The sequence below is a fragment of the Homo sapiens genome, chromosome 19 (genome assembly GCF_000001405.40).
Source record: "Homo sapiens chromosome 19, GRCh38.p14 Primary Assembly".
Classification (NCBI taxonomy): Eukaryota; Metazoa; Chordata; class Mammalia; order Primates; family Hominidae; genus Homo; species Homo sapiens.
In genome coordinates, this window is record NC_000019.10 from 9,384,559 (window position 1) to 9,409,820 (window position 25,262).

At 42.5% G+C, this 25,262-nt stretch overlaps 1 long non-coding RNA gene across 1 annotated transcript; it reads right to left on the reverse strand.

Annotated features, from left to right (window-relative positions):
• Positions 1-181: 181 nt before the first annotated feature.
• LOC112268250 (uncharacterized) lies at positions 182-22,502 on the reverse strand. Its single transcript, XR_002958434.2, has 3 exons — positions 22,292-22,502; positions 2,646-2,892; positions 182-917 (listed from the first exon to the last, which is right to left on the reverse strand). It is a non-coding gene; the product is annotated as an uncharacterized LOC112268250 (long non-coding RNA).
• Between the last annotated feature and the right edge of the window lie 2,760 nt (positions 22,503-25,262).

The following is a 25,262-nucleotide window of genomic DNA, read 5'->3' on the forward strand; positions in this document are numbered from 1 at the left end:
GAGCCACCATGCCTGGCCGGAACTGGGTATTTTTTAAAAAGAAACCATCATATCGCATTTAAATTTATCCAGAAATGCAAAGTTGGTTTTACATTAGAAAAATCAATAAATACAATTCACTTTTAAAATAGGCTTATTACTCATTCACTCATACTAATAATTACTAGGCACCTAGAATGAATGAGGCAGTGTTCAAAGCATTTAATGCATTATTGAAAAAATAGGATAATCTCAGTAGATAAAGAAAAAGCCATAAAGAGGTATTACTGAGAAAAATCTTTGAAAATATGATAAACATTGTATAAAAAAATGCAAAAGTAAACAATAAATGAATGGTGGAAAATAGAAAATGAGTTTAAAATCAGGAAGATGACAATGGTATCCACTACTTAGTATTTTACTGGAATCTTAAGTGAGGCAGGCTAGGAAAAGATATTTAAAAACCTAAGGACCAGAAAGGTAGAAGTAAATCTGTCATTATTTATAATATGATTACCTAAATGGAAAATTTCAAAGGATCTATATTTAAATTAATGAAAATGTTTACTATCTTAATAAAGATAAACTTGCAACTTATACTCAGGAATAGAAATAATAAAATTTAAAAGTCAATACCATTTATAAGAGCAACAATGGTATAACATATGGAAGAATAAATTTTAAACTTACCAAAATTGTGGAAGAATAAATTTTAAACTTACCAAATTGTTTTGAAGACAGTATTGAAAACATTAAAGATGACGTAAACAAATTTGAGACATTCATTGAAAGGTCAAATTCTGAAAAGACTCACTTCTCCCAAACTGATTTAGATTCAAAAAGTTCCAAATACAGCTCCACTTCCAGATTGGCTGCAGACATTTACAGGAACCCACATGAATAAACAGTGAACTAACATCTTCAAAGACCCTGGAAATCTGTGGACAAAAAAAGGAGTGAAAGAATTAAATGCCAGAGGATGAGCTCCTCCTAGAAGAGCAGAAATCAGTGGCTGGTTTCTTCCCTGAAGGCATTTTCCTGGTCTAGGAGCAGATTGGCGGAGAGCCAGGCCTGCCACAGGCAGAGGAACTTTACTGGAATATGGAGAGACCAGGGGGCATTAATGGTCACAAGGCTAGTGTGACACTATAATATAAAATAGACTCTCTTTACCAGTGCTGCGTATCCCTATAATGATTTGCTGAGTGTGTAGCAACAGCTGGTGCTGGGCACTAACCAGGAAAAAATGGATATCCCTATTGTAGTGCTTAGATTCCACAGTCCTGTTAGAGGGAGTGGTCTGAAATAGTCATAGGAAAGATCTTACTCAAGATGTTTGAAACCCGAAGTGAACCAAAACTAATTTTTACATCCCAACCTCTGATTGGATCAAAGTTGAGGAGATTCTCACCTAAACTGCTTGGCAGAGGAAATGGAGTGACTTCCAGATGAAAATATTTTTCAATTTCTGCTGTTCTTTTAAGCATAATATCCACATCCAACTTAAAACATCACATGATGTGCAGAGCAGCAGGTCAATGTTACCAATCATCAGGAGAAAAAGGTCCAACAAAAATAGACCCATAGATGATATGAGAAGTTGGAATTAGCAGACAAGGACTTTAGAATTGTTATAGAACCAACAGGTTCATATGTCTGCTGTGTAGTAGCAGACCAATTACACAGACACGGATTAAGCAGAGAGTTTAATTACCACAGGGCGCCAAGTAAGGAGATAGGAGGAGACATCTATATCCCCAAGAAGTTCCAGGCTGGAGTTTTAAAGGGGATCAGGGAGGGTGAAGGACTGGAGAATTAGGGTTGTTGATGGTCAGAGCAAGCAGGATAAAGTCATCAGGATGTGGAAACTAGATTCTTTGGTAAGTCAGCTCGTGGTGCCCCTCAGACCAGCTGAGTCAATGGGGTCCTTCAGACCACCTGAAATGGTAGGTATATCAGCATGTAAAAAGTGTGAAAGAGTATCTCAAAGGAAAAACTTAATGTTTTATAATGGTCAAGTTATCAATAGAGTAGTTAATCTTGTAACAGGGTGATATGGTTTGCCTGTGTTCCTACCCAAATCTCACCTTGAATTGTAAGAATCCCCACCTGTCATGGGAAGGACCCAGTGGGAGGTAACTGAATCACGGGGGTGGGTTTTTCTGTGCTGTTCTCATGGTAGTGAATAAGTCTCACGAACGTATGATTTTATAAAAGGGCAGTTCCCCTGCACACGCTGTCTTGCTTGTCACCATGTAAGATATCCCTTTGCTCTTCGTCTTGGGCCATGATTGTGAGGCCTCTCCAGCCATGAGGGTCTGTGAGTTCATTAAACCTCTTTCCTTTATTAGTTACCTAGTCTCAGGTAGTATGTCCTTATTAGCAGCATGAGAACAGACTAATACACAGGGTCTACATGATTCTAGGACAATAGGCACCAGTGAACTATGAAGAAGTAGGTCAGAGATTAAACTTCATTAATGTTGAATGTGCTATAAGCTTGGTTTTTCATTTATCCCTCTCTCTTCTTTCCTGATTAATTTTATAAAGTTTATAGGGGCAGTTTCAGAATTGCCCCTATAACTTATGACAGATACGTTAAAACAAAAAATTTCAAATGGATGAAAATATATATAGAATTGCAGGCCAGGCGTGGTGGCTCATACCTGTAATCCCAGCACTTTGGGAGGCCAAGGTGGGTGGATCACGAAGTCAGGAGTTCGAGACCAGCCTGGACAACATGGTGAAACCCCATCTCTACTAAAAGAAAGATCAGCCAGGTGTGGTGGCACATGCCTGTAATCCCAGCTACTCGGGAGGCTGAGGTAGGAGAATCACTTCAACTTGGGAAGCAGAGGTTGCAGTGAGCCAAGATTGCGCCATTGCACTCCAGGGTTGGGTGGCAGAGCAAGACTGTTTCAAAAAAAAAAAAAAAAGAAAGTACATAAAATTGCAGTATCTAAGTGGAATCTCTAAAGTAGAAACAGACAATCTAGAGGTAAAAATTATAATTTCTGAAATTAAAAAAAAATTCTGTAAGTGGGCCTAAAAGCAAACTAAACACAGCAAATAAAGGTGGGGGAGAGGGCAATCAGTGAACTCAAAGATAGGTTAACAGAAATGTGCCTAACTTACGGACACGGGAAAACAATGAGTGTTTTCTAAAACTGATTAAAAACATCAAACCAGCAGAGTCAAGCTCAGCAAACCTAAGCAGGATAAATGCAAAGAAAACCACACACAGTTCACCATCAATCTGTTAAAAAAAAAAAAATCTTAAGAAAGAGAAAGTACGTTCAGGATTTTAAAAAATGTGGCTGACTTCTCAGTGACATAACAGGGAGAAGAAAAATGTAATTGTATCTTTAAAGTGCTGAAAGAGAAAAACCTAATTGTATGCTTTGCAAAAAAAATCTTCAAAAATACAAAATTCCATTTTGAGACAAAAGCTGACAAAATAAATTGTCAAACTTGTGCTATGGGAAATACTACAGGAAGTGTTTCATACTGAAGAGAAATAATCCCAGGCTGAGGTGCATGCAGATTGATGGGATGAAATTAAAGAGTATGGAAGGGCAAACAGGTGGACAAATATAAAATACTATTTTTTTAATTTAAAGACTATTGATTGATTAAAGCAACAATAACTTAGTGTGAACTCTGTAATAAGTTCCAGGGTCTGTATGTCTGCTTTTACACCAGTACCATGCTGTTTTGCTTACTGCAGCCTTGTAGTATAGTTTGAAGTCAGATAGAGTGATGCCTCCAGCTTTGTTCTTTTTTATTACCCCCAGACAGGGTTTCATTCTGCCACCCAGGCTGGAGTGCAGTGGCACGATTGTGGCTCCCTTCAGCTTCAACCTCCCAGGTTCAAGCAATCCTCCCGCCTCAGCCTGCCGAATAGCTGGGACTACAGACACATGCCACCACACATGGCAAAGTTTTGTATTTTTTGTAAAGATGGGGTCTCACTGAGTTGCACAGGCTGGTCTCAAACTCCTGGACTGAAGTGATCTCACCTAGGGCTCCAGTGATCCTGTCTTGGGCTTCCAAAGCACTGAGATTATTAAGTGTGAGGCACTGCACCTGGATCTCCTCATCTTTTTCTAAAGCCACAAGTCCTGCAGGGTACAGGAGCTCATGCCTGTAATACCAGCACTTTGGGAGGCCAAAGTAGGAATACTCCTTGAGGCCTCAAAGGTTTGAGAGCAGTTTGGGAAACAAAGCAAGACTGTCTCTACAAAAAAATGTTTTTAAAAATAAGCTGGGCGTGGTGGTGTGCACTTGTAGTCCTAGCTACTTCGGAGGCTGAGGTGAGAGGACTGCTTGAGGCCAGGAGGTTGAGGCTACAGTGAGCCATGATTGTGCCACTGCACTCCAGCCTGGGTGACCAAGCACAAGACCCTGACTCTTTTATAACAAAACAAAACAAAAAAAGCCACCAGTCCCACTCACATAACCTATTAATCTATTAACCCATTAATCCCTCAATCTATTAATGAATTAATCCATTCAAGAGGGCAGAGCCCTCAAGACCAGTCGTCTCTTAAAGGCCCCACTTCTGAATACTGCCACATGGGAGATTAAATTTCAACATGAGTTTTTGGAGGGGACAAATATTCAAACTATAGCATTCCGCCCCGGCCCTCAAAAACTCTTGCTCCTCTCACATATGAGTACATTCATTCCTTCTCTATAGCCTAAATGTCTCAAGTTATTCCATCACCAACTCAAAAGTTCAAAGTCCAGAGTATCATCTGTGAGCCTGTGAAATCAAAACAAGTTACCTACTCTCGAGAGACAGTAGTGGTACAGGCATAAGACAGACATTCACATTCCAAAAGGGGAGAATGAGGAAAAAGAAGTAACAGGCCCCAATCAAGTCTGAAGCCCAGCAGGGCAGACCATAAATCTGCAAGCTGGAGAATCATCTCTTTTGACTCCACGTGCTGCCTCCTGGAAAAACTGAGGTCACAGTTTGACCCCCCAAGGCCTCAGGCAGCCCAGCCCCTCTGGTTTTGCTGGGTGCATCCCAAATAGTGGCTTATACAGTTTGAGGACTTGTGCCTGAAGACTTCCTAGGTGGGCGTTGCATGCTGCTGGTTACTCTGCAGTTTTGGGGTCCTGATGGCATTCTTACTCCCATAGCTCCACTAGGTATTGCCCTGGTGGGGATTCTGTAGCAGCCCCAACGTCACATTTCTGCATGTGACCATGGCTCTGGTCGGGACTCTCTGCAGTTGCTCTATCCTTACAACACGTCTATGCTTGGGCCTCCAGGCTTTTGATGACATCCTTTGGAATCTGGGTGGAAGCTGCCAAACCTCCATTCTGCAAGTCTGCAGAATTAGCTGCACATGGATGCCACCAAAGTTTATGACCTGTACCTTCTGAAGGGCATGAGCTGCACCTGGGTCACTTAAGCTATAGCTGGGCAGCCACAGAGCACTGTGCAGAGGTGCAGGGAGCAGAGTTCCAAGGCAACTCAGCAGCAAACTATGGAGAATGACTGGTCTGTCCCCTGAAGCCACTGTGCCCTCGTAGGCCTCTAGGCCTGTAATGTGAGGGGCAACCTTGAAAATCTCCAGAATGCCTTCAGGGTCTTTCTTCCATTGTTTTGAGTAAAAGCACCCGGCTCCCTTCTGTGCTAATCTCTTCAGCAAAGGATCACTAGGGTACGACCTTAGTTTCCCCACCTGAACACACTTTTTCACTCTATGTGGCCAGGCTAAGAGTTTCCCAGATTTTTCCATGGTGCTTCCCTTTTAACATAAATTCTGTCTTTTAAGTTGTTCTTTTGCTTCTGAATCTTGGCACAAATAGCCAAAAGTAACCATGCAACTCCTATGTGTTGCTTAGAAATTTCTACTGCCACATACCCTAGTTCATCACTCTCAAATTAGGCCTTCCACAAAGCCCTCAGGCATGGATCGAGTTCAGCCAAGTTTTTTGCCAGTTTATAACAAGGACAGCCTTTACTGCAGTTTCCAATGCCTTCTTTCTCAATTCCAGCTGAAACCACATCAGAATGGCCTTTACTGTCCATATTTCTATCAAAATTCTAGACACAGCCACTTAACAAATCTCTAAGGCGTTCCAAATCTTTACCTAGCTTTGTTTTCTAAGCCTTCATCAGAATCTAGGCTTTTTCTAGTCTGCTCCTCCAAATTATTCTACCTTCTGCCCCATTATACCCAGTTTCAAAGCTGCTTCCACATGTTCAGGTATTTCTCGTTGTCAGTAACACCCTACTTCTTGGTACCAATTTTCCAGAATTCCATGAACTCTACCACCAGTTAACCCAATGGTAACTGGAACATATTCCAGCTAAGAAATTCAGCAGTTTATTAAAAATTAATGGATCTAGGCCAGGCATGGTGGCTCACACCTGTAATCCCAACACATTGGGAGGCTGAGATGAGGGGATCACTTCAACCCAGGAGTTTGAGACCAGCCTGGGCAACAAAGCAAAGCCTTATCTCTACAAAAAATGAAAAGATTTGCTGGGCATGGTGGTACATGCCCTGTGGCCCCAGCTACTCAGGAGGCTGAGGTTAAAGTATTGCTTGAACCCAGAAGTCAAGGCTGCAGTGAGGTATGATGGTGTCCCTCCACTACAGCCTGGGTAACAGAATGAAACCATGTCTCAAAAAAAAACCTCAGCCAGGCGCAGTGGCTTATGCCTGTAATCCCAGCACTTTGGGAGGCCAAGGCAGGTGGATCACCTGAGGCCAGGAATTCAAGACCAGCCTAGCCAACATGGCAAAACACCGTCTCTACTAAAAAAAAAAAAAAAAAATACAAAAATTAGCCGGGCACAGTGGCACACACCTGTAACCCCAGCTACTCAGGAGGCTGAGGCAGGAGAACCACTTGAACCCAGGAGGTGGAGGTTACGGTGAGCCAAGATCGTGCCACTGCACTCCAGCCTGGGTGACAGATCAAGACTCTGCCTCAAAAAAAAAAAAAAAAAAAAAAATTGGGTCTAGACACTGAGCACCAATGACTACTAACACTCACAAAAGAGACACCATTGGACATTATGTACCTTCTGATCAAAGATCACATGTGCCACCACCTCCCCAAAAATGAAACTGAATCTTATCTCTAGATCCAACTATGATATAAAAAGAAATACGCTGACAACCCTATGAGAATGCAATTAGCAAAATCCACACTACACATAACTCTAGATCTTAATCCAGGTGCTTCAAAAAATAAAACGGGGAAGACTAAAAAATGACATCCAAAAATGAGCAAAAATTAAATAATGTTTGGGGTTCCACATTTGGGTGAAAGGTAATAAATGATTACTATAAAAGTCATGAGAGTGGTTACTCTGAGGGAAGAAAGAGGCAGTTGTGACTGGGACATGGTATTTGAGGCAAAGTTCTACATCTTGAACGGGGTCGTGGTTACAAGAGTATTTGTTATTTAATTCATGAACCACACATTTAGGTCATGTGAAAAAATAAACCTAAACCTGATCTCCCCTTACCAAAAAATACTAGGAAATACAAGAGGAAATCTTCCCCCAACTACCCTTATGAGGCTGGCATAACCATGCTATGTACCAGATAATATGGCAGAAAAAGAAAACCACAAAGCTATCTCACAAACAGATTGGTCAGGTACAGTGCCTCACACCCATAATCCCAGCACTTTGGGAGGCCGAGGCAGGAGGATGACTGGAGCCCAGGGGTTCAAGACTGGCCTAGGCAACATAGGGAGACCCTGTCTCTACAAAAATTTAAACATTGGCCAGCATGGTGGTGTGTGCCTGTAGTCCCAGTTATTCGAGAGGCTGAGGTGGGAGGATGGCTTGAGCCCAGGAGTTCAAGGCTATACTGAGCCTGATCATGCCGCTGCACTCCAGCCTGAATGAGAGTAAGACTCTCTTAAAAAAAAAAAAAAGTGTATGAAAAGTCAGGAACTATAGTTTCTATAAATATATGTTAATTACTTTTTCTGGCAGGGCGCAGTGGCTCACGTCTGTAATCCCAACATTTTGGGAGGCTGAGGCAGGCGGATCACTTGAGGTCAAGAGTTCGAGGCCTGCCTGGCCAACATGATGAAATCCCGTCTCTACTAAAAATACAAAAATTAGCTGGGCATGGTGGTATGCACCTGTAGTCCCAGCTACTCAGGATGCTGAGGCATGAGAATCGCTTGAACCCAGGAGGCGGAGGTTGAAGTGAGCCAAGTTGCACTACTGCACTCCAGTCTGGGAAACAGACTCTGTCTAAAAAGTAAATATATATATACATACACACACGCATACATTTTCAAAGTATATGTTCAATTTGGTTTTTTTTCAACCATGACCTATCTTTATAGGTGAAGCACCTCCAAATTAGCATCAGGGGGTCCAACTGTTAATCTAAAAAAAGTATAATGAATACACTACTACCCTGAAGTTTCAGACTTTTTGGCCATTATACATTATGTTAACAATTAGATCCATTGCTTTAAATTTAGTTATTTCATCTGAAAAGTTTTCCGGAGGCCAGGCATGCTGGCTCACACCTGCAGTCCCAGCACTTTAAAAGGCCAAGGCAAGAGGATTGCTTGAGCCCAGGAGTTCGAGACCAGCCTCAGTAACGTAGTAATACTCCATTTGTATATAAAAAAAAACTTTTTTAAGAAGAAAAGTTTTCTGGAGATTGAAATGTATCCAATTTAATATCCTCTTTGCTCTCAGGTATTTTACCAGTGTTTCTACAATGAATGTGGAAAGGTTTCACAACAAAACCAATCTTTGGCCTTTCCTCCTTCCCCCTTTCTCTTCCTTTTCAGCAGAGTGTCCTTTTGGAAGGTACCCCTGAGGTGTGGGGGACTGCAGGGGCCAGCATGTCCACAGCCAAGCTTTTGGGTAACACAGATGCAAATGAGGGTTTAAAAGCCAATGAGGATAATGGAAGCTAGCCTTCTCACTGAGAAAAGAGTTACAAACAGGAAAGGGGAAGGTGAGAATAATACCTGTCCTGATTAATTGAAAATATTAGTGTAAAGTCCTGTTAACATATAATATAGGACTCAAATGTGTATACTTATATCCACAAATGTGTTTAGGTAGAAAAACACTTATTCTCTACTCCTGTTTGCTGAGAGGCCCTGAAAGCAATGAATCCAAGGTAGCAATGATAATACTTAGTGCCCAGAATTGGTTTCTAAATACCATTATCCTCTTAAAGGAACTAGAGCTCTTTGGAGAAAAGGCTGACTCCAGGGCTGGAGAAGGAAAAATATGAGATGAGCCTAGAACATCTTAAGACTGGAAAGTTCTCATGGAATGACGGGTCATGTCAAGGGGATACAGGAGGCAGCCAAGGGGCCTTCCACTGGCCAAAGCTGGGACAACTAGAGCAAAATAAGTAATGAGTATATGGGAACCCATGAATTCACACTGCTACAAATAAATGAAGAAAGAAATAGGGAGGAAAAAAATCTCTAACCTAGAGCAGTACGACAAACGGGAAATCTGGAAGGCACAGACAGTTGGAAAGAAAAAAAAATTGCCGGGTGTGGTGGCTCACGTCTGTAATCCTAACACTTCAGGAGGCTGAGGTGGGCAGGTCACCTGAGGTCGGGAGTTGGAGACCAGCCTGACCAACATGGAGAAACCCCATCTCTACTAAAAAAATTAAAAATTAGCCAGGCATAATGGCTCATGCCTGTAATCCCAGCTGAGGCAGAAGAATCGCTTGAACCCAGGAGCCGGGGAGGTTGCAGTGAGCCGAGATCATGCCATTGCACTCCAGCCTGGGCAACAAGAGCGAAACTCTGTCTCAAAAAAAAAAAAAAAAAAAAAAATTGGCAACTATTATAATAATAATTAATCCAGACAAGAATCATTACTGGTGGATGAGTTTCTAAGAGGAAAAAGATATTTACATAGTCTTAACACATTGCCCCCTAAAAGCATTTAAGTATAACCTACTTTTAATTAATGCAGTTTTGCAACTTTTCAGTCTAAAGAAAAACAAAAAATTAAATTAAAAAAATTAATGCACAGTGGAGAAACTTGCCAGACACTATCTTAACCAAGAGATAACAGCTTACACCACTATTAGAAATAATGGGGAGTGGCCAGGCGCTGTGGCTCACACCTGTACTCCTAGCACTTTGGGAGGCTGAGGAGGGAGGATTACTTGAGGTCAGGAGTTCGAGACCAGCCTGGCCAACATGGTGAAACCCTGTCTCTACAAAAATACAAAAATTAGCCGGGTGTGGTGGTGTGTGCCTGTAATCCCAGCTGCTCAGGAGGCTGAGGCAAGAGAATCGCTTGAACCCAGGAAGCGGAGGTTGCAGTGAGCCGAGATCACGCACCACTGCACTCCAGCCTGGGTGACAGAGCAAGACTCTGTCTAAAAACAAAAAGAAAAGAAATAATGGGGAGTCTTTGGTGGTTTGTGTTGTGGGTCTTTATGATCAGTGATGAGGTCTATTCATCTCTACTGTGAGACCACAGGGGTCAGTGGGGTTAGTGAGTGATATGGTTTGGCTGTGTCCCCACCCAAATCTCACCTTGAATGGTAATAATCCCCACATGTCAAGGGTGGGGCCAGGTGGAGATAACTGAATTACAGGCAGTTTCCCCCATACTGTTCTTGCGGTAGTGAGTAAGTCAAGATATGATGGACTTATAAAGGGAAGTCCCCCTCCACAAGATCTCTTGCCTACTGCCAGGACATTGCTCCTCAGTCGCCTTCTGCCATGATTGTAAGGCCTCCTCAGCCATGTGGAACTGTGAGTCAATTAAACCTCTTTCCTTTGTATATTACCCAGTCTCAGGTATGTCTTTATTAGCAGCATGAAAACACATCAATACAGTGAGGATTTGTGAGGTTAGTGATGAAGGTCTGTAGGGACAGTGATTAGGAGTCTCTGGGGTCAGTAACATGTACACTGTGGGGTTAGTGATAGAGATTCCTTAGGAGCAGTAATAGGGATTATACAGAGATCAATGGAGGAATCTCTGGTGCTATGTTGCAGCTCTGTGGGGTCGGTGATATATATGAAGCGGGGTCAGGGATGTGCAGTCTGAAATCAATGGTGTGGCTATGTGGGGGTCAGCGATGTGATCCCAAGGGGGCTTGGTGGAGATTCAGATGGTCAGTCATACTGGGGAACTGTGGAGTCATTGATGGAAGGTCCGTGGGATTGCTCATTGGGAATTTAGAGGTAAGTACTGTGGCGCCCATAGAATATTTACCAGGGATGGAAAGTGCATTAGTTAAGGTCAGTGATGGGGGTTGAGGATTGGTGATGGGGTGTAGGTGTGTAATATGCCAGTGGTCAATAGGTTAGATGACGAGGGCTATAAGGAATGCTATTCATTGTCTATAAGAAACCCACTTTAATTAAACAGACACATATAGATTAAAAGATGAATGAAGAAAGATATACCATGCTAATGACAATCAAAAGAAAGCAGGAGTAGCTATATTAATTTCAGACAGAGCAGACTTCAACTTTTTTAAATTACAGATGTGGGGTCTTGCTACATTGCCCAGGCTGGTGTCAAACTCCTAGCCTCAAGCGATCCTCCACCTCAGCATCCCAAAGTTCTGCATTACAGATGTGAGACCCTGTGCCTGGACCAGAGCACACGTCATATCAAGGAAAGTTATCTGGGATAAAGAGGGGCATAACTTAAAGAGACCAATATTCCAAGAAGTCATAACAATCCTTAATGTGTGTACACATGACAGAGCATCAAAATGAGGTAAAAGCTAGTAGAACTGCATGGAGAAATAGATAAAACCACTATTATAGCTGGAGATTTAAATACCCCTTTATCGCCAGGCACAGTGGCACACTTTGGGAGGCCGAGGCGGTTAGATCACGAGGTCAGGAGTTTGACACCAGCCTGGTCAATATGGTGAAACCTCGTCTCTACTAAATATGTAAAAATTAGCCAAGTGTGGTGGTGCACACCTATAGTCCCAGCTACTTGGGAGGCCGAGGCAGGAGAATCGCTTGAACCCAGGAGGCAAAGGGTGCAGTGAACTGAGATCACGCCATGGCACTCCAGCCCAGGTGACAGTGCAAGACTCCATCTCAAAAAAAAAAAAAAAAATGAAAAAATAAATTAATTAAAAATAAATACCCCTCTATCACAAATGGACAGATCCAGCAGGGAGAAAATCAGTAAGAATGTAGTAAAACTCAACAGCATTATCAATCAACTGGATATAATTAACATATATAGATTACTTCATCCAAAACCAGCAGATTATACATTCTTCTCAAGCTCACATAGAATATTCATCAAGACAGGCCACACTGCGGGTCATGAAACACCTCTTAACAAATATGAAAGAACTGAAATCATACAATGTATGCTCTCAGATCACAACAGAATTAAACTGGAAACTAATCAAAGACAGCTAAAAAAATCTCAAAATACTTGAAGATCAAACAGCACACTTCTAAATAAATAGGTCAAACAAGAAATCTCAAAAAAAGTTTAAAAAATTTGCACTGACAACAGATACAACTTAACAAGATTTGTGGGGTGCAACAAAAGCAGTTCTTCGGGGGAAATTTATAACACTGAATGGTTAGAAAAGAAAAAAGATCTGTGCCAATCATCTAAGCTTCCACCTTAGGAAACTAAAAAAAAAAAAAAAAAGCAAATTAAATCCAAAGTAAGCAGAAGAAAAGAAATAATAAAAATTCAAGGCCAGACATGGTGGCTTATGCCTGTAATCTCAGCACTTTTGGAGGCCAGTGTGGGAGGATCACTTGAGGGCCAGGAGTTTTGAGACCAGCCTGGGCAACACAGCTAGACTCCATTTCTACAAAAATTTTAAAAGCCAGGCATGGTGGCACATGCCTGTACTCCCCTCTATTTGGGTGACTGAGGTGGAAGCATCCCTTGAGTCCAGGAGTTTGAGGCTGCAGTGAGCCATGATCATGCCACTGCACTCCTGCCTGGACAACAAAGCAAGACACTGTCTCAAACAAAAAACCTCAAGCAAAAGTCAGTGAAATTGAAAACAGAAAATAGAGTAAAATCAACAATACCAAAAGCTGGTTCTTTGAAAGGATGAATAAAATAAACCTCTCATCAGGCTAACAAAGAAACAACAGAGAAGACACAAATTACTAATAGCAGAAATTAAGAAGGGACATCACTACAGATCTCATAAATATGAAATGGGGGGCGGAGCCAAGATGTCCAAATAGGAACAGCTCCAGTCTACAGCTCCCAGCATGAGTGATGCAGAAGACGGGTGATTTCTGCATTTCCAACTTAGGTACCGGGTTCATCTCACTGGGGAGTGTCAGAAAGTGGGTGCAGCGCACCGAGCGTGAGCTGAAGCAGGGCGAGGCATCACCTCACCTGGGAAGCGCAAGGGGTCAGGGAATTCCCTTTCCTAGTCAAAGAAAGGGGTGAGAGACAGCACCTGGAAAATCGGGTCACTCCCACCCTAATACTGCACTTTTCAAATGGTCTTAGCAAACGGCACACCAGGAGATTACATCCCACGCCTGGCTCGGAGGGTCCTACGCCCATAGAGCCTTGCTCATTGCTAGCACAACAGTCTGAGATCAAACGGCAAAGTGGCAGTGAGGCTGGGGGAGGGGCGCCCGCCATTGCTGAGGCTTGAGCAGGTAAACAAAGTGGCTGGAAAGCTTGAACTGGGTGGAGCCCACCGCAGCTCAAGGATGCATGCCTGCCTCTGTAGACTCCACCTCTGCGGGCAGGGCACAGCCAAACAAAAGGCAGCAGAATCCTCTGCAGACTTAAATGTCCCTGTCTGCAGCTTTGAAGAGAGCAGTGGTTCTCTCAGCATGCAGCTGGAGATCTGAGAATGAACAGACTGCCTCCTCAAGTGGGTCCCTGACCCCTGAGTAGCCTAACTGGGAGGCATCCCCCAGTAGGGGGAGACTGACACCTCACATGGCTGGGTACTCCTCTGAGACAAAACTTCCAGAGGAACATTTGCTGTTCACCAATATCCACTGTTCTGCAGCCTTTGCTGCTGATACCCAGGCAAACAGGTTTGGAGTGGACCTCCAGCAAACTCCAACAGACCTGCAGCTGAGGGTCCTGACTGTTAGAAGGAAAACTAACAAACAGGACATCCACACCAAAACCCTATCAGTACATCACCATCATCAAAGACCAAAGGTAGATAAAACCACAAAGATGGGGAAAAAACAGAGCAGAAAAACTGGAAACTCTAAAAATCAGAGCGCCTCTGCTCCTCCAAAGGAACGCAGCTCCGCATCAGCAATGGAACAAAGCTGGACGGAAAATGACTTTGACGAGTTGACAGAAGAAGGCTTCAGATGATCAAACTACTCCAAGCTAAAGGAGGAAGTTTGAACCCATGGCAAAGAAGTTAAAAACCGTGAAAAAAAATTAGAATGGCTAACTAGAATAGCCAATGCAGAGAAGTCCTTAAAGGACCTGATGGAGCTGAAAACCAAGGCACAACAACTACATGACAAATGCACAAGCCTCAGTAGCCGATTCGATCAACTGGAAGAAAGGGTATCAGTGATGGAAGATCAAATGAATGAAATGAAACAAGAAGAGAAGTTTAGAGAAAAAAGAATGAAAAGAAACAAAGCCTCCAAGAAATATAGGACTATATGAAAAGACCAAATCTACATCTGATTGGTGTACCTGAAAGTGACAGGGAGAATGGAACCAAGTTGGAAAACACTCTGCAGGATATTATCCAGGAGAACTTCCCCAATCTAGCAAGGCAGGCCAACATTCAAATTCAGGAAATACAGAGAAAGCCACAAAGATACTCCTCAAGAAGAGCAACTCCAAGACACATAATTGTCAGATTCACCAAAGTTGAAATGAAGGAAAAAATGTTAAGGGCACCCAGAGAGAAAGGTCGGGCTACCCACAAAGGGAAGCCCATCAGACTAACAGCTGATCTCTCAGCAGAAACTCTACAAGCCAGAAGACAGTGGGGGCCAATATTCAACACTCTTAAAGAAAAGAATTTTCAACCAGAATTTCATATCCAGCCAAACTAAGCTTCATAAGTGAAGGAGAAATAAAATACAGACAAGCAAATGCTGAGAGATTTTGTCACCACCTGGCCTGCCCTACAAGAGCTCCTGAAGGAAGGACTAAACATGGAAAGGAACAACCGGTACCAGCCACTGCAAAAACATGCCAAATTGTAAAGACCATCAAGACTAGGAAGAAACTGCATCAACTAATGAGCAAAATAACCAACTAACATAATGACAGGATCAAATTCACACATAACAATATTAACCTTAAATGTAAATGGGCTAAATGCTCCAATTAAAAGACACAGACTGGCAAATTGGATAAAGAGTCAAGACCCATCAGTGTGCTGTATTCAGGAAACCCATCTCACGTGCAGAGTCACACATAGACTCAAAATAAAGGGATGGAGGAAGATCTGCCAAGCAAATGGAAAACAAAAAAAGGCAGGGGTTGCAATCCTAGTCTCTGATAAAACAGACTTTAAACCAACAAAGATCAAAAGAGACAAAGAAGGCCATTACATAATGGTAAAGGGATCAATTCAACAAGAAGAGCTAACTATCCTAAATATATATGCACCCAATACAGGAGCACCCAGATTCATAAAGCAAGTCCTTGGACACCTAGAAAGAGACTTAGACTCCCACACAATAATAATGGGAGACTTTAACACCCCACTGTCAACATTAGACAGATCAACAAGACAGAAAGTTAACAAGGATATCCAGGAGTTGAACTCAGCTCTGTACCAAGTGGACCTAATAGACATCTACAGAACTCTTCACCCCAAATCAACAGAATATACATTCTTCTCAGCACCACACCACACTTATTCCAAAATTGACCACATAGTTGGAAGTAAGGCACTCCTCAGCAAATGTAAAAGAACAGAAATTATAACAAACTGTCTCTCAGACCACAGTGCAATCAAACTAGAACTCACGATTAAGAAACTCACTCAAAACCGCTCAACTACATGGAAACTGAACAACCTGCTCCTGAATGACTACTGGGTACATAACGAAATGAAGGCAGAAATAAAAATGTTTTTTGAAACCAATGAGAACAAAGACACAACATACCAGAATCTGGGACACATTCAAAGCAGTGTATAGAGGGAAATTTATAGCACTAAATGACCACAAGAGAAAGCAGGAAAGATCTAAAATTGACACCCTAACATCACAATTAAAACAAATAGAAAAGCAAGAGCAAACACATTCAAAAGCTAGCAGAAGGCAAGAAATAACTAAGATCAGAGCAGAACTGAAGGAAATAGAGACACAAAAAACCCTTCAAAAAATCAATGAATACAGGAGCTGGTTTTTTGAAAAGATCAACAAAATTGATAGACCACTAGCAAGACTAATAAAGAAGAAAAGAGAGAAGAATCAAATAGATGCAATAAAAAATGATAAAGGGGATATCACCACTGATACCACAGAAATACAAACAACCATCAGAGAATAAACACCTCTACGCAAATAAACTAGAAAACCTAGAAGAAATGGATAAATTCCTTGACACATACACCCTCCCAAGACTAAACCAGGAAGAAGTTGAATCCCTGAATAGACCAATAACACGCTCTGAAATTGAGGCAATAACTAATAGCTTACCAACCAAAAAAGTCCAGGACCAGATGGATTCACAGCCGAATTCTACCAGAGGTACAAGGAGGAGCTGGTACCATTCCTTCTGAAACTATTCCAATCAATAGAAAAAGAGGGAATCCTCCCTAACTCATTTTATAAGGCCAGCATCATCCTGATACCAAAGCCTGGCAGAGACACAATAAAAAAAAGAGAATTTTGGACCAATATCCCTGATGAACATCAATGCAAAAATCCTCAATAAAATACTGGCAAACCGAATCCAGCAGCACATCAAAAAGCTTATCCACCATGATCAAGTGGGCTTCATCCCTGGGATGCAAGGCTGGTTCAACATACGCAAATCAATAAACGTAATCCAGCATATAAACAGAACCAACGACAAAAACCATATGATTATCTCAATAGATGCAGAAAAGGCCTTTGACAAAATTCAACAACCCTTCATGCTAAAAACTCTCAATAAATTAGGTATTGATGAGAGTATCTCAAAATAATAAGAGCTATCTATGACAAACCCACAGCCAATATCATACTGAATGGGCAAAAACTGGAAGCATTCCCTTTGAAAACTGGCACAAAACAGGGATGCCCTCTCTCACCACTCCTATTCAATATAGTGTTGGAAGTTCTGGCCAGGGCAATCAGGCAGGAGAAGGAAATAAAGGGTATTCAGTTAGTAAAAGAGGAAGTCAAATTGTCCCTGTTTGCAGATGACATGATTGTTTATCTAGAAAACCCCATCGTCTCAGCCCAAAATCTCCTTAAGCTGATAGGCAACTTCAGCAAAGTCTCAGGATACAAAATCATGTGCAAAAATCACAAGCATTCTTATACACCAATAACAGACAAACAGAGAGCCAAATCATGAGTGAACTCCCATTAACAATTGCTTCAAAGACAATAAAATACCTAAGAATCCAACTTACAAGGGACATGAAGGACCTCTTCAAGGAGAACTACAAACCACTGCTCAATGAAATAAAAGAGGATACAACCAAATGGAAGAACATTCCATGCTCATGGGTAGGAAGAATCAATATCGGGAAAATGGCCATACTGCCCAAGGTAATTTATAGACTCAATGCCATCCCCATCAAGCTACCAATGACTTTCTTCACAGAATTGGAAAAAACTACTTTAAAGTTCATATGGAACCAAAAAAGAGCCCACATTGCCAAGTCAATCCTAAGCCAAAAGAACAAAGCTGGAGGCATCATGCTACCTGACTTCAAACTATACTACAAGGCTACAGTAACCAAAACAGCATGGTACTGGTACCAAAACACAGATATAGACCAATGGAACAGAACAGAGCCCTCAGAAATTATGCCACATATCTACAACCATTTGATCTTTGACAAACCTGACAAAAACAAGCAATGGGGAAAGGATTCCCTATTTAATAAATGGTGCTGGGAAAACTGGCTAGCCATATGTAGAAAGCTGAAACTGGATCTCTTAAAGACTTAAATCTTAGACCTAAAACCATAAAAACCCTAGAAGAAAACCTAGGCATTACCATTCAGGACATAGGCATGGGCAAGGACTTCATGTCTAAAACACCAAAAGCAATGGCAACAAAAGCCAAAATTGACAAATGGGATCTAATTAAACTAAAGAGCTTCTGCACAGCCAAAGAAACTACCATCAGAGTGAACAGGCAACCTACAGAATGGGAGAAAATGTTTGCAACCTACTCATCTGACAAAGGGCTAATATCCAGAATCTACAATGAACTCAAACAAATTTACAAGAAAAAAACCACCCCATCAAAAAGTGAGCGAAGGACATGAATAGACACTTCTCAAAAGAAGACATTTATGCAGCCAAAAGACACATGAAAAAATGCTCATCATCATTGGCCATCAGAGAAATGCAAATCAAAACCACAGTGAGATACCATCTCACACCAGTTAGAATGGCAATCATTAAAAAGTCAGGAAACAACAGGTGCTGGAGAGGATGTGGAGAAATAGGAACGCTTTTACACTGTTGGTGGAACTGTAAACTAGTTCAACCATTGTGGAAGTCAGTGTGGTGATTCCTCAGGGATCTAGAACAAGAAATACCATTTGACCCAGCAATCCCATTACTGGGTATATACCCAGAGGATTATAAATCATGCTGCTATAAAGACACATGCACATGTACGTTTATTGCAGCACTATTCACAATAGCAAAGACTTGGAACCAACCCAAACGTCCATCAATGATAGACTGGATTAAGAAAATATGGCACATATATACCATGGAATACTATGCAGCCATAAAAAATGATGAGTTCATGTCCTTTGTTGGGACATGGATGAAGCTGGAAACCATCATTCTCAGCAAACTATCCCAAGGACAAAAAACCAAACACCACATGTTCTCACTCATAGGTGGGAATTGAACAGTGATAACACATGGACACAGGAAGGGGAACATCACACACCGGGGCCTGTTGTGGGGTGGGGTGAGGGGGAGGAATAGCATTAGGAGATATACCTAATGTTAAATGACGAGTTAATGGGTGCAGCATACCAACATGGCACATGTATACATATGTAACTAACATGCACGTTGTGCACATCTACCCTAAAACTTAAAGTATAATAAAAAATAAAAATAACAAATACGAAATGGATAATAAAGCAATTTCATGAACAATTCTACATCCACAAATTTGAAAGCCTAGATGAAATACATCAGTGATGTGAAAGAAACAATATGCCTGTATTAGTCTGTTTTCATGCTGCTTATAAAGACATACCCGAAAGTGGGCAATTCACAAAAGAAAAAGGTTTAATTGGACTCACAGTTCCACGTGGCTGGGGCGGCCTCACAATCATGGTGGAAGCCAGGGAGGAGCAAGTCACATCTTACGTGGATGTTGGCAGGCAAAGAGAGAGCTTGTGCAGAAAAATTCCCGTTTTTAAGACAGTCAAAACTAGTGAGACTTATTGACTATCACAATAACAGGATGGGGAAGACTTGCCCCATGATTCAATTACCTCCCACCGGGTGCCTCCCACAACATGTGGGAATTCAAGATGAGATTTGGGTGGGGACACAGCCAAACCATATCACTGCCAAAACTCACACAAGAAGAAACAGACAATCTAAATAGATCTGTATCTATAAAGAAAAAGAATAATAACATTCCAAAACAAAAAGCACCAAGTCCAGATGTGTTCACTAGTGAATTCTACCAAACATTTAAGGAAGAAAGTAAGAAAGTATGCCAGTTTTCTACAATCTCTTCCAGAAAAAGCAGAGGGAATACTTTCTAACATTCTGTGAGGCCAGCATCACCCTAATACCAAAACGAAAGACATTAAAACAACAGAGAACTACAGGCCAACACCATGGCTCACAAATACAGATGCAAAAAGTTTCAACAAGGTCGAGCATGGTGGTTCATGTCTGTACTCCCAGCACTTTGAGAAGCCAAGGTGGGTGGGTCACTTGAGTCCAGGAGTTCGAGACCAGCCTGAGCAACATGGCAAAACCCCATCTCTTTAAAAAAAAAAAACCAAACAAACAACAACAACAACAAAAACCAATCCTGTATTAGTGAGGGTTTTCCAGAGAAATAGGATTAATAGGATTTATATAGGTATATACCACACCTTTTTTCTCCACTTCTTTTCCCCACAACACAACAAGCGGATGACAATATTTGTGAGTCATAACAAGTTAAATGAAACAACATGGTTAACTTAACAAACTTCTCTATAAACTTTTCTTGATTCTCTAAAAACTGTCCAATTTTTTCCTTGCATAAAGCCAAATTAGACACAGAAAATGGCACATGTTCCCTTACTTCCACTAGCTACCACCCACAATGCACACAGGTTTCACTTTAGGGGCCGATATGGGGCCCCACTCCTGGTGATACTGGTTGGGCTTACTCTCTTGGGAAGTGGGAGGGATAGGGGCTAGTTTGCATAAGGGGGAGGCGTGAGTGATGACCTTGGGGTGGGTTCCTTCATTGAAAAACTGGTAGGAAGCCCCTCAGAATTGGGGGACTGAAGAGACCCTGGGGAAAACGTAAGCCTTCTAAAGGGAGCAGCTAGGAGGGGATCCCTTAGGCATGGCATTCTGGTCCCTGGAATTAACATGAGCCTGTAAAGAGCCATAAAAGCCTGTACATAAGGGACGTCTTCCCATTTTCCTTTTTACAAAATAAGTCTAATTGTAAATATCATTATAATGTATAGAACCATATGTAGGCCAAATCTGTTAGTTTTCTAATCTGTATTGAACCCAAACAGTGCTGCAACAAAAAATGAGTCTCTTCTTAAGACGAATTTGAACTTGCTCCAATAGCGTAAAAGACACTCCAGTGCCAAGTCCTCTGGGATGCTTGCTGTTGTCCCCAGGTCGACTAAGGATCGCTACAGGGGGTTTCAGCCTAAGTTTAGCAAATGTCTAGTTAATTTTCCCTTTTAAATTCCCACCTTCCAGAAAGGTGTAAATATAAATAGCAGGGTGTTATAAAAGTGGATTAGGAGCTAAAAATGGACAGTTGGATGTTGAACCTAAATTCCAGAGGGCTGGGCAGAGAGGAGCTAAACAAATGGTAACTGTGGAAGGGAGGAAAGGAAGGGGGTAAGCAGCATTGCCCAAAGGGAGACCTCAGAGGCCCTGACCACCTGAGAACCTACTCAATAGTGGAGACACCAAAAAAAAATATTCATGTGGCACAGACCTGTTTTAGCTAGTCTTCAATTTGGTGGGGTGTCCAAGCCCACTAGACTCCAGAGTCTAGTCCCGCCTCCTACCTCACCGTCAACTTACTTTTAGCTTATAAACCTTCGTATGTGCAAGGCGCGGTGGCTCGTGCTTGTAATCCCAGCACTTTGGGAGGCCCAGGAGGGCAGATCACGAGGTCAGGAGTTAAGCCTGGCCAACATGGTGAAACCCCGTCTCTACTAAAAATACAAAAATTAGCTGGGTGTGGTGGTCTGCGCCTGTCATCCCAGCTACTTGGGAGGCTGTGGCAAGAGAATCACTTGAACCTGGGAGGTGGAGGTTGCAATGAGCGGAGATCGTGCTGTTGCACTCCAGCCTGGGCAATAGAGTGAGACTGTCTCAAAAAAAGGAAATGACAAGAGATTAATTACTTAGTGAATCTAGGGCAATGGTGGTTTGTTGTACCAGACTTTGACATTTTCTTCAGTTTGAAAATTTCCAAATTAACAAGGTAAGGAAAATCCACTTGGAAAAGGCTCTTGCTGTTTATGGTCAACTCAATTCCCATTTGTGATACAAAAACAAGCCTGCATGTTCTCTTTTTTTCTCTGGAGATGCTTGTATTTTGAAGCTTAGAGATTTACAGGGTTCTGAGCTGAATACCGAGCTGATTTTCCGTGACAGTAAAATTTGCATTTACATGCATTCATTCACCCATGCATTTAATTGTGTCAGATGCCCGTACTCCCTAACAATGAGTTTCTAATTTCTCCACCTGTACATAATTTACCAAATATAAAGAACATCCCCCAAAAGAACAAATTCACCCAGTGTTCACCCAAACTGGCTGGAATCCCCTGGTCGGTGAAGCTGCTGGGGACAAAACAACCACGACTCCAGCAAGAGATTTTCTTCCTTCTGCAGAAAGTCTGCAAAGGCTGATGAAGAGGCTTGGGAAAGGGGAGACCGCGGACGAAAAGGCCCCACCGAAGCTCGCTGCCCGCACTCCCGACCCGCCTTTTACCTGGACCCAAGCCCCCAGCGGCGCAGGTGGGAGTCTGGGAAGAAGTGCGGTGTCGGCAGGAAGTCCCAGCGCGACGTCCGGGAAAGCCACAGGAGGAGGCGACCTGCAGGAGGCTACCCTTTGACCCCAACCCTACTCTCCAGTCCTCCTAGTCTGGTGGGAGCAACCTTAGACTGGTTGATGTGGAAGGAGGCGGGCCTGCACGCGGAGTACGGCATTCACTTCCGTTTCCGGGAGCGCACTTCCGTTTCCAGGCATGAGGGCAACGGGGGAGGGGGGGGAGGTGACCTGGAATGGGCTGAGAAACAGGAGCCACGAGAGCCGCGTGGTGACGTTAGAAGGGCGCTACAGCCGCGACTTTCCAAAGCTAGTAGAGAGATCCCAGCGTCCCCCGGGAAAGGCAGAAGGGGCGGGGCGATACCAAGACGGAGACAATGGGGCGGGGCGATGCCCTGGAGGCGGGATTGCCTGTGGGAGAGCCACCCTTCAGGCCATGCAGACCCCAGGTGAAATCTGCACAGGGGTCTCCTGGAGCCGTGGGAGGGGTTCCCCTTCTTCTCCTTCAAGAGCGTTTTTATGTTGCCCTCTTTATGGATGGAAAACAGAGGCATGGACGGGCGGTGTAACTTGGCCACATTCACTAACCTAATGAAGAAGTCTCTGAAACTGGATCCTGGGTCGCTGGAGGCCTTACACCCTCCTCCAGGGACTATGATAAATATCAGTCTACAAGCAAAGAAAAACTTTGGAATTTAAAGCCCTGTGTACTGTAGTTCTTCCTATATTTTTGACAACCAAACCAGAACCTTTATATCACACACATACACACACACAAACCCTTTTTGGCATTTTCTAAATATCCGTGTGAATAAAACACCTGCCAAGACGTGGTAGGATTTAAAAGTGATTTGGGGCGGGTGTTTTATTCACGTCTGCAATCCCAGCACTTTGGGAGACCCAGATGGGAGGATTGCTTGAGCCCAGGAGTTAGAGACCAGCCTGGGCAGACCCCTGTCTCCTAAAAACATAAAAAAGTGATAGGGAATAAATGTAGAATTGCCATAGGTCATAATTTGTTTAATATAAAGCTGCTACGCTTTTAGGTCTGACAAACTTCCTCTCCCTGTGCGGTTGTTTCCTGATATAACCCACGTGTTCCTCATCTCACAGCTGCTGACTCCTATAAAAGCTAATGACCAACACCACAGTCATGTAAATAAATTCCCCCCTTCATTTTTTTCCCTAGCCAATCGACAGTCACGTGAAGAAAGACTGAAGGACAAACCCATGGTCCTTAAAAGGCACAGTCCCACAGGCCCTCTCTGTCTCTTCATCTCTCCAGTAACCTACCCACAGGTTGAGCACCATACTGTCTCTGGACTTCCTGTGGGCCATTATTCAGCACCCCTAACTTCTCTGGAATCTATAATAAACTTTTTCCTTTCATTGATTTTGGTTTCACTTTCTCATTGTGTCTCACTTGACACACTTGAACTTAACATCCTCCACCAGCTCTCCTAGAGAGTGGCTATCTCGGGCCGGACATGTTGGCTCAGGCCTGTAATCCCAGCACTCTGGGAGGCCAAGGTGAGTGGATCACCTGAGGTCAGGAGTTCAAGACCAGTGTGGCCAACATGGTGAAACCCCGTCTCTACAAAAAATATAAAAATTAGCTGGGCATGGTGGGAGATGCCTGTAATCCCAGCTGCTCGGGAGGCTGAGGCATGAGAATCACTTGAACCCAGGAGGCAGAGGTTGCAGTGAGCTGAGATTGTGCCACTGCACTCCAGCCTGGATGACAGAGCAAGACTCTTAAAATAAAAAAATTAAAAAAAAGAGTGTGGCTATATTGGCTTTTGGCCTTTCTCAAGAGAGAAACCTCAAGACCGAGTTGGAAAATAAACATTAATACTAAAAAATGATACCAACGTATGATCCAGCAATTCCACTTCTGGGTATATTAATCAAAAAGTTGAAAGCAGGTACTGGAAGAGCTATTTGTACACCCATGTTCATGGCAGCTTTATTCACAATATTGAAAAGGTGAAAGCAAATCAAACTGTGGTATAGCCATACAATAGATTATCCAGCCTTAAAAAAGGAAATTCTGAGATGTGCAGAATTTGAACATGAACATGAACATGTTCCTTGAACATGTTCCTTGATCATGAACATGAACATGAACCTTGAACATGTTACGCTAAATGAAATAAACTAGTCACAAAAAGTCAAATACTGGGACTTCACTTTTATGAGGTACCTACAGTAGTGGGGTTAACACAGACACATGTTGGAACAACTAAGTTCCTCTTCAAAGACTCAACTTTCTGATCATAAGTTATAAAAGTTGTACATCAATCCTACCCCCTTTCTTCTCTTCTGTTTCCACAAATCGCACATTTACCCTATTTGGAAAAGTTTAAGTCTTAGCCAATCGGGATCAGCTTAGATTGTGCAGTCCAATCCCAGCCAATTGGGGGACGACACAGAAACAGGAACTGCATTAAATTAAAAACTCCTTCCCTTCTTTGTTCATCGTGCTCTTGCGATCGTAACGGGCACAAGCAGCACCCTTCTGCAGAAGTAAAGGTGCCCTGCGGAGAAATTTTCTAGGGGGTTTCTTTTGGCTATGTCGAGCACTTGTTTCCAACAGAGAATTGAATGGTGTTTGCCAGAGATTGGGAAGGGAGCAGTAGGGAGTTAGTGTTTACTGGGTTCAGTTTGGGAAGATAAACATTTTTTAGTGGGATGATGGTGACAGTTGCCCAACAATGTGAGTATACTTAATGCCAGCGAAGTGGACACTTAAAATGGTTAAAATGTAAACTTTATGTAATATACTTTACCACAATTCTTAAAAAGTGAATAGAGGATTATTAGTTTTATTTAATGAAGCCTCCAAAAACCAGAGATCTGGGGCAAAAGAAATTCAAAAGCAGTTTGGCTAGCAGTGCATTTTATACAGTCTCTG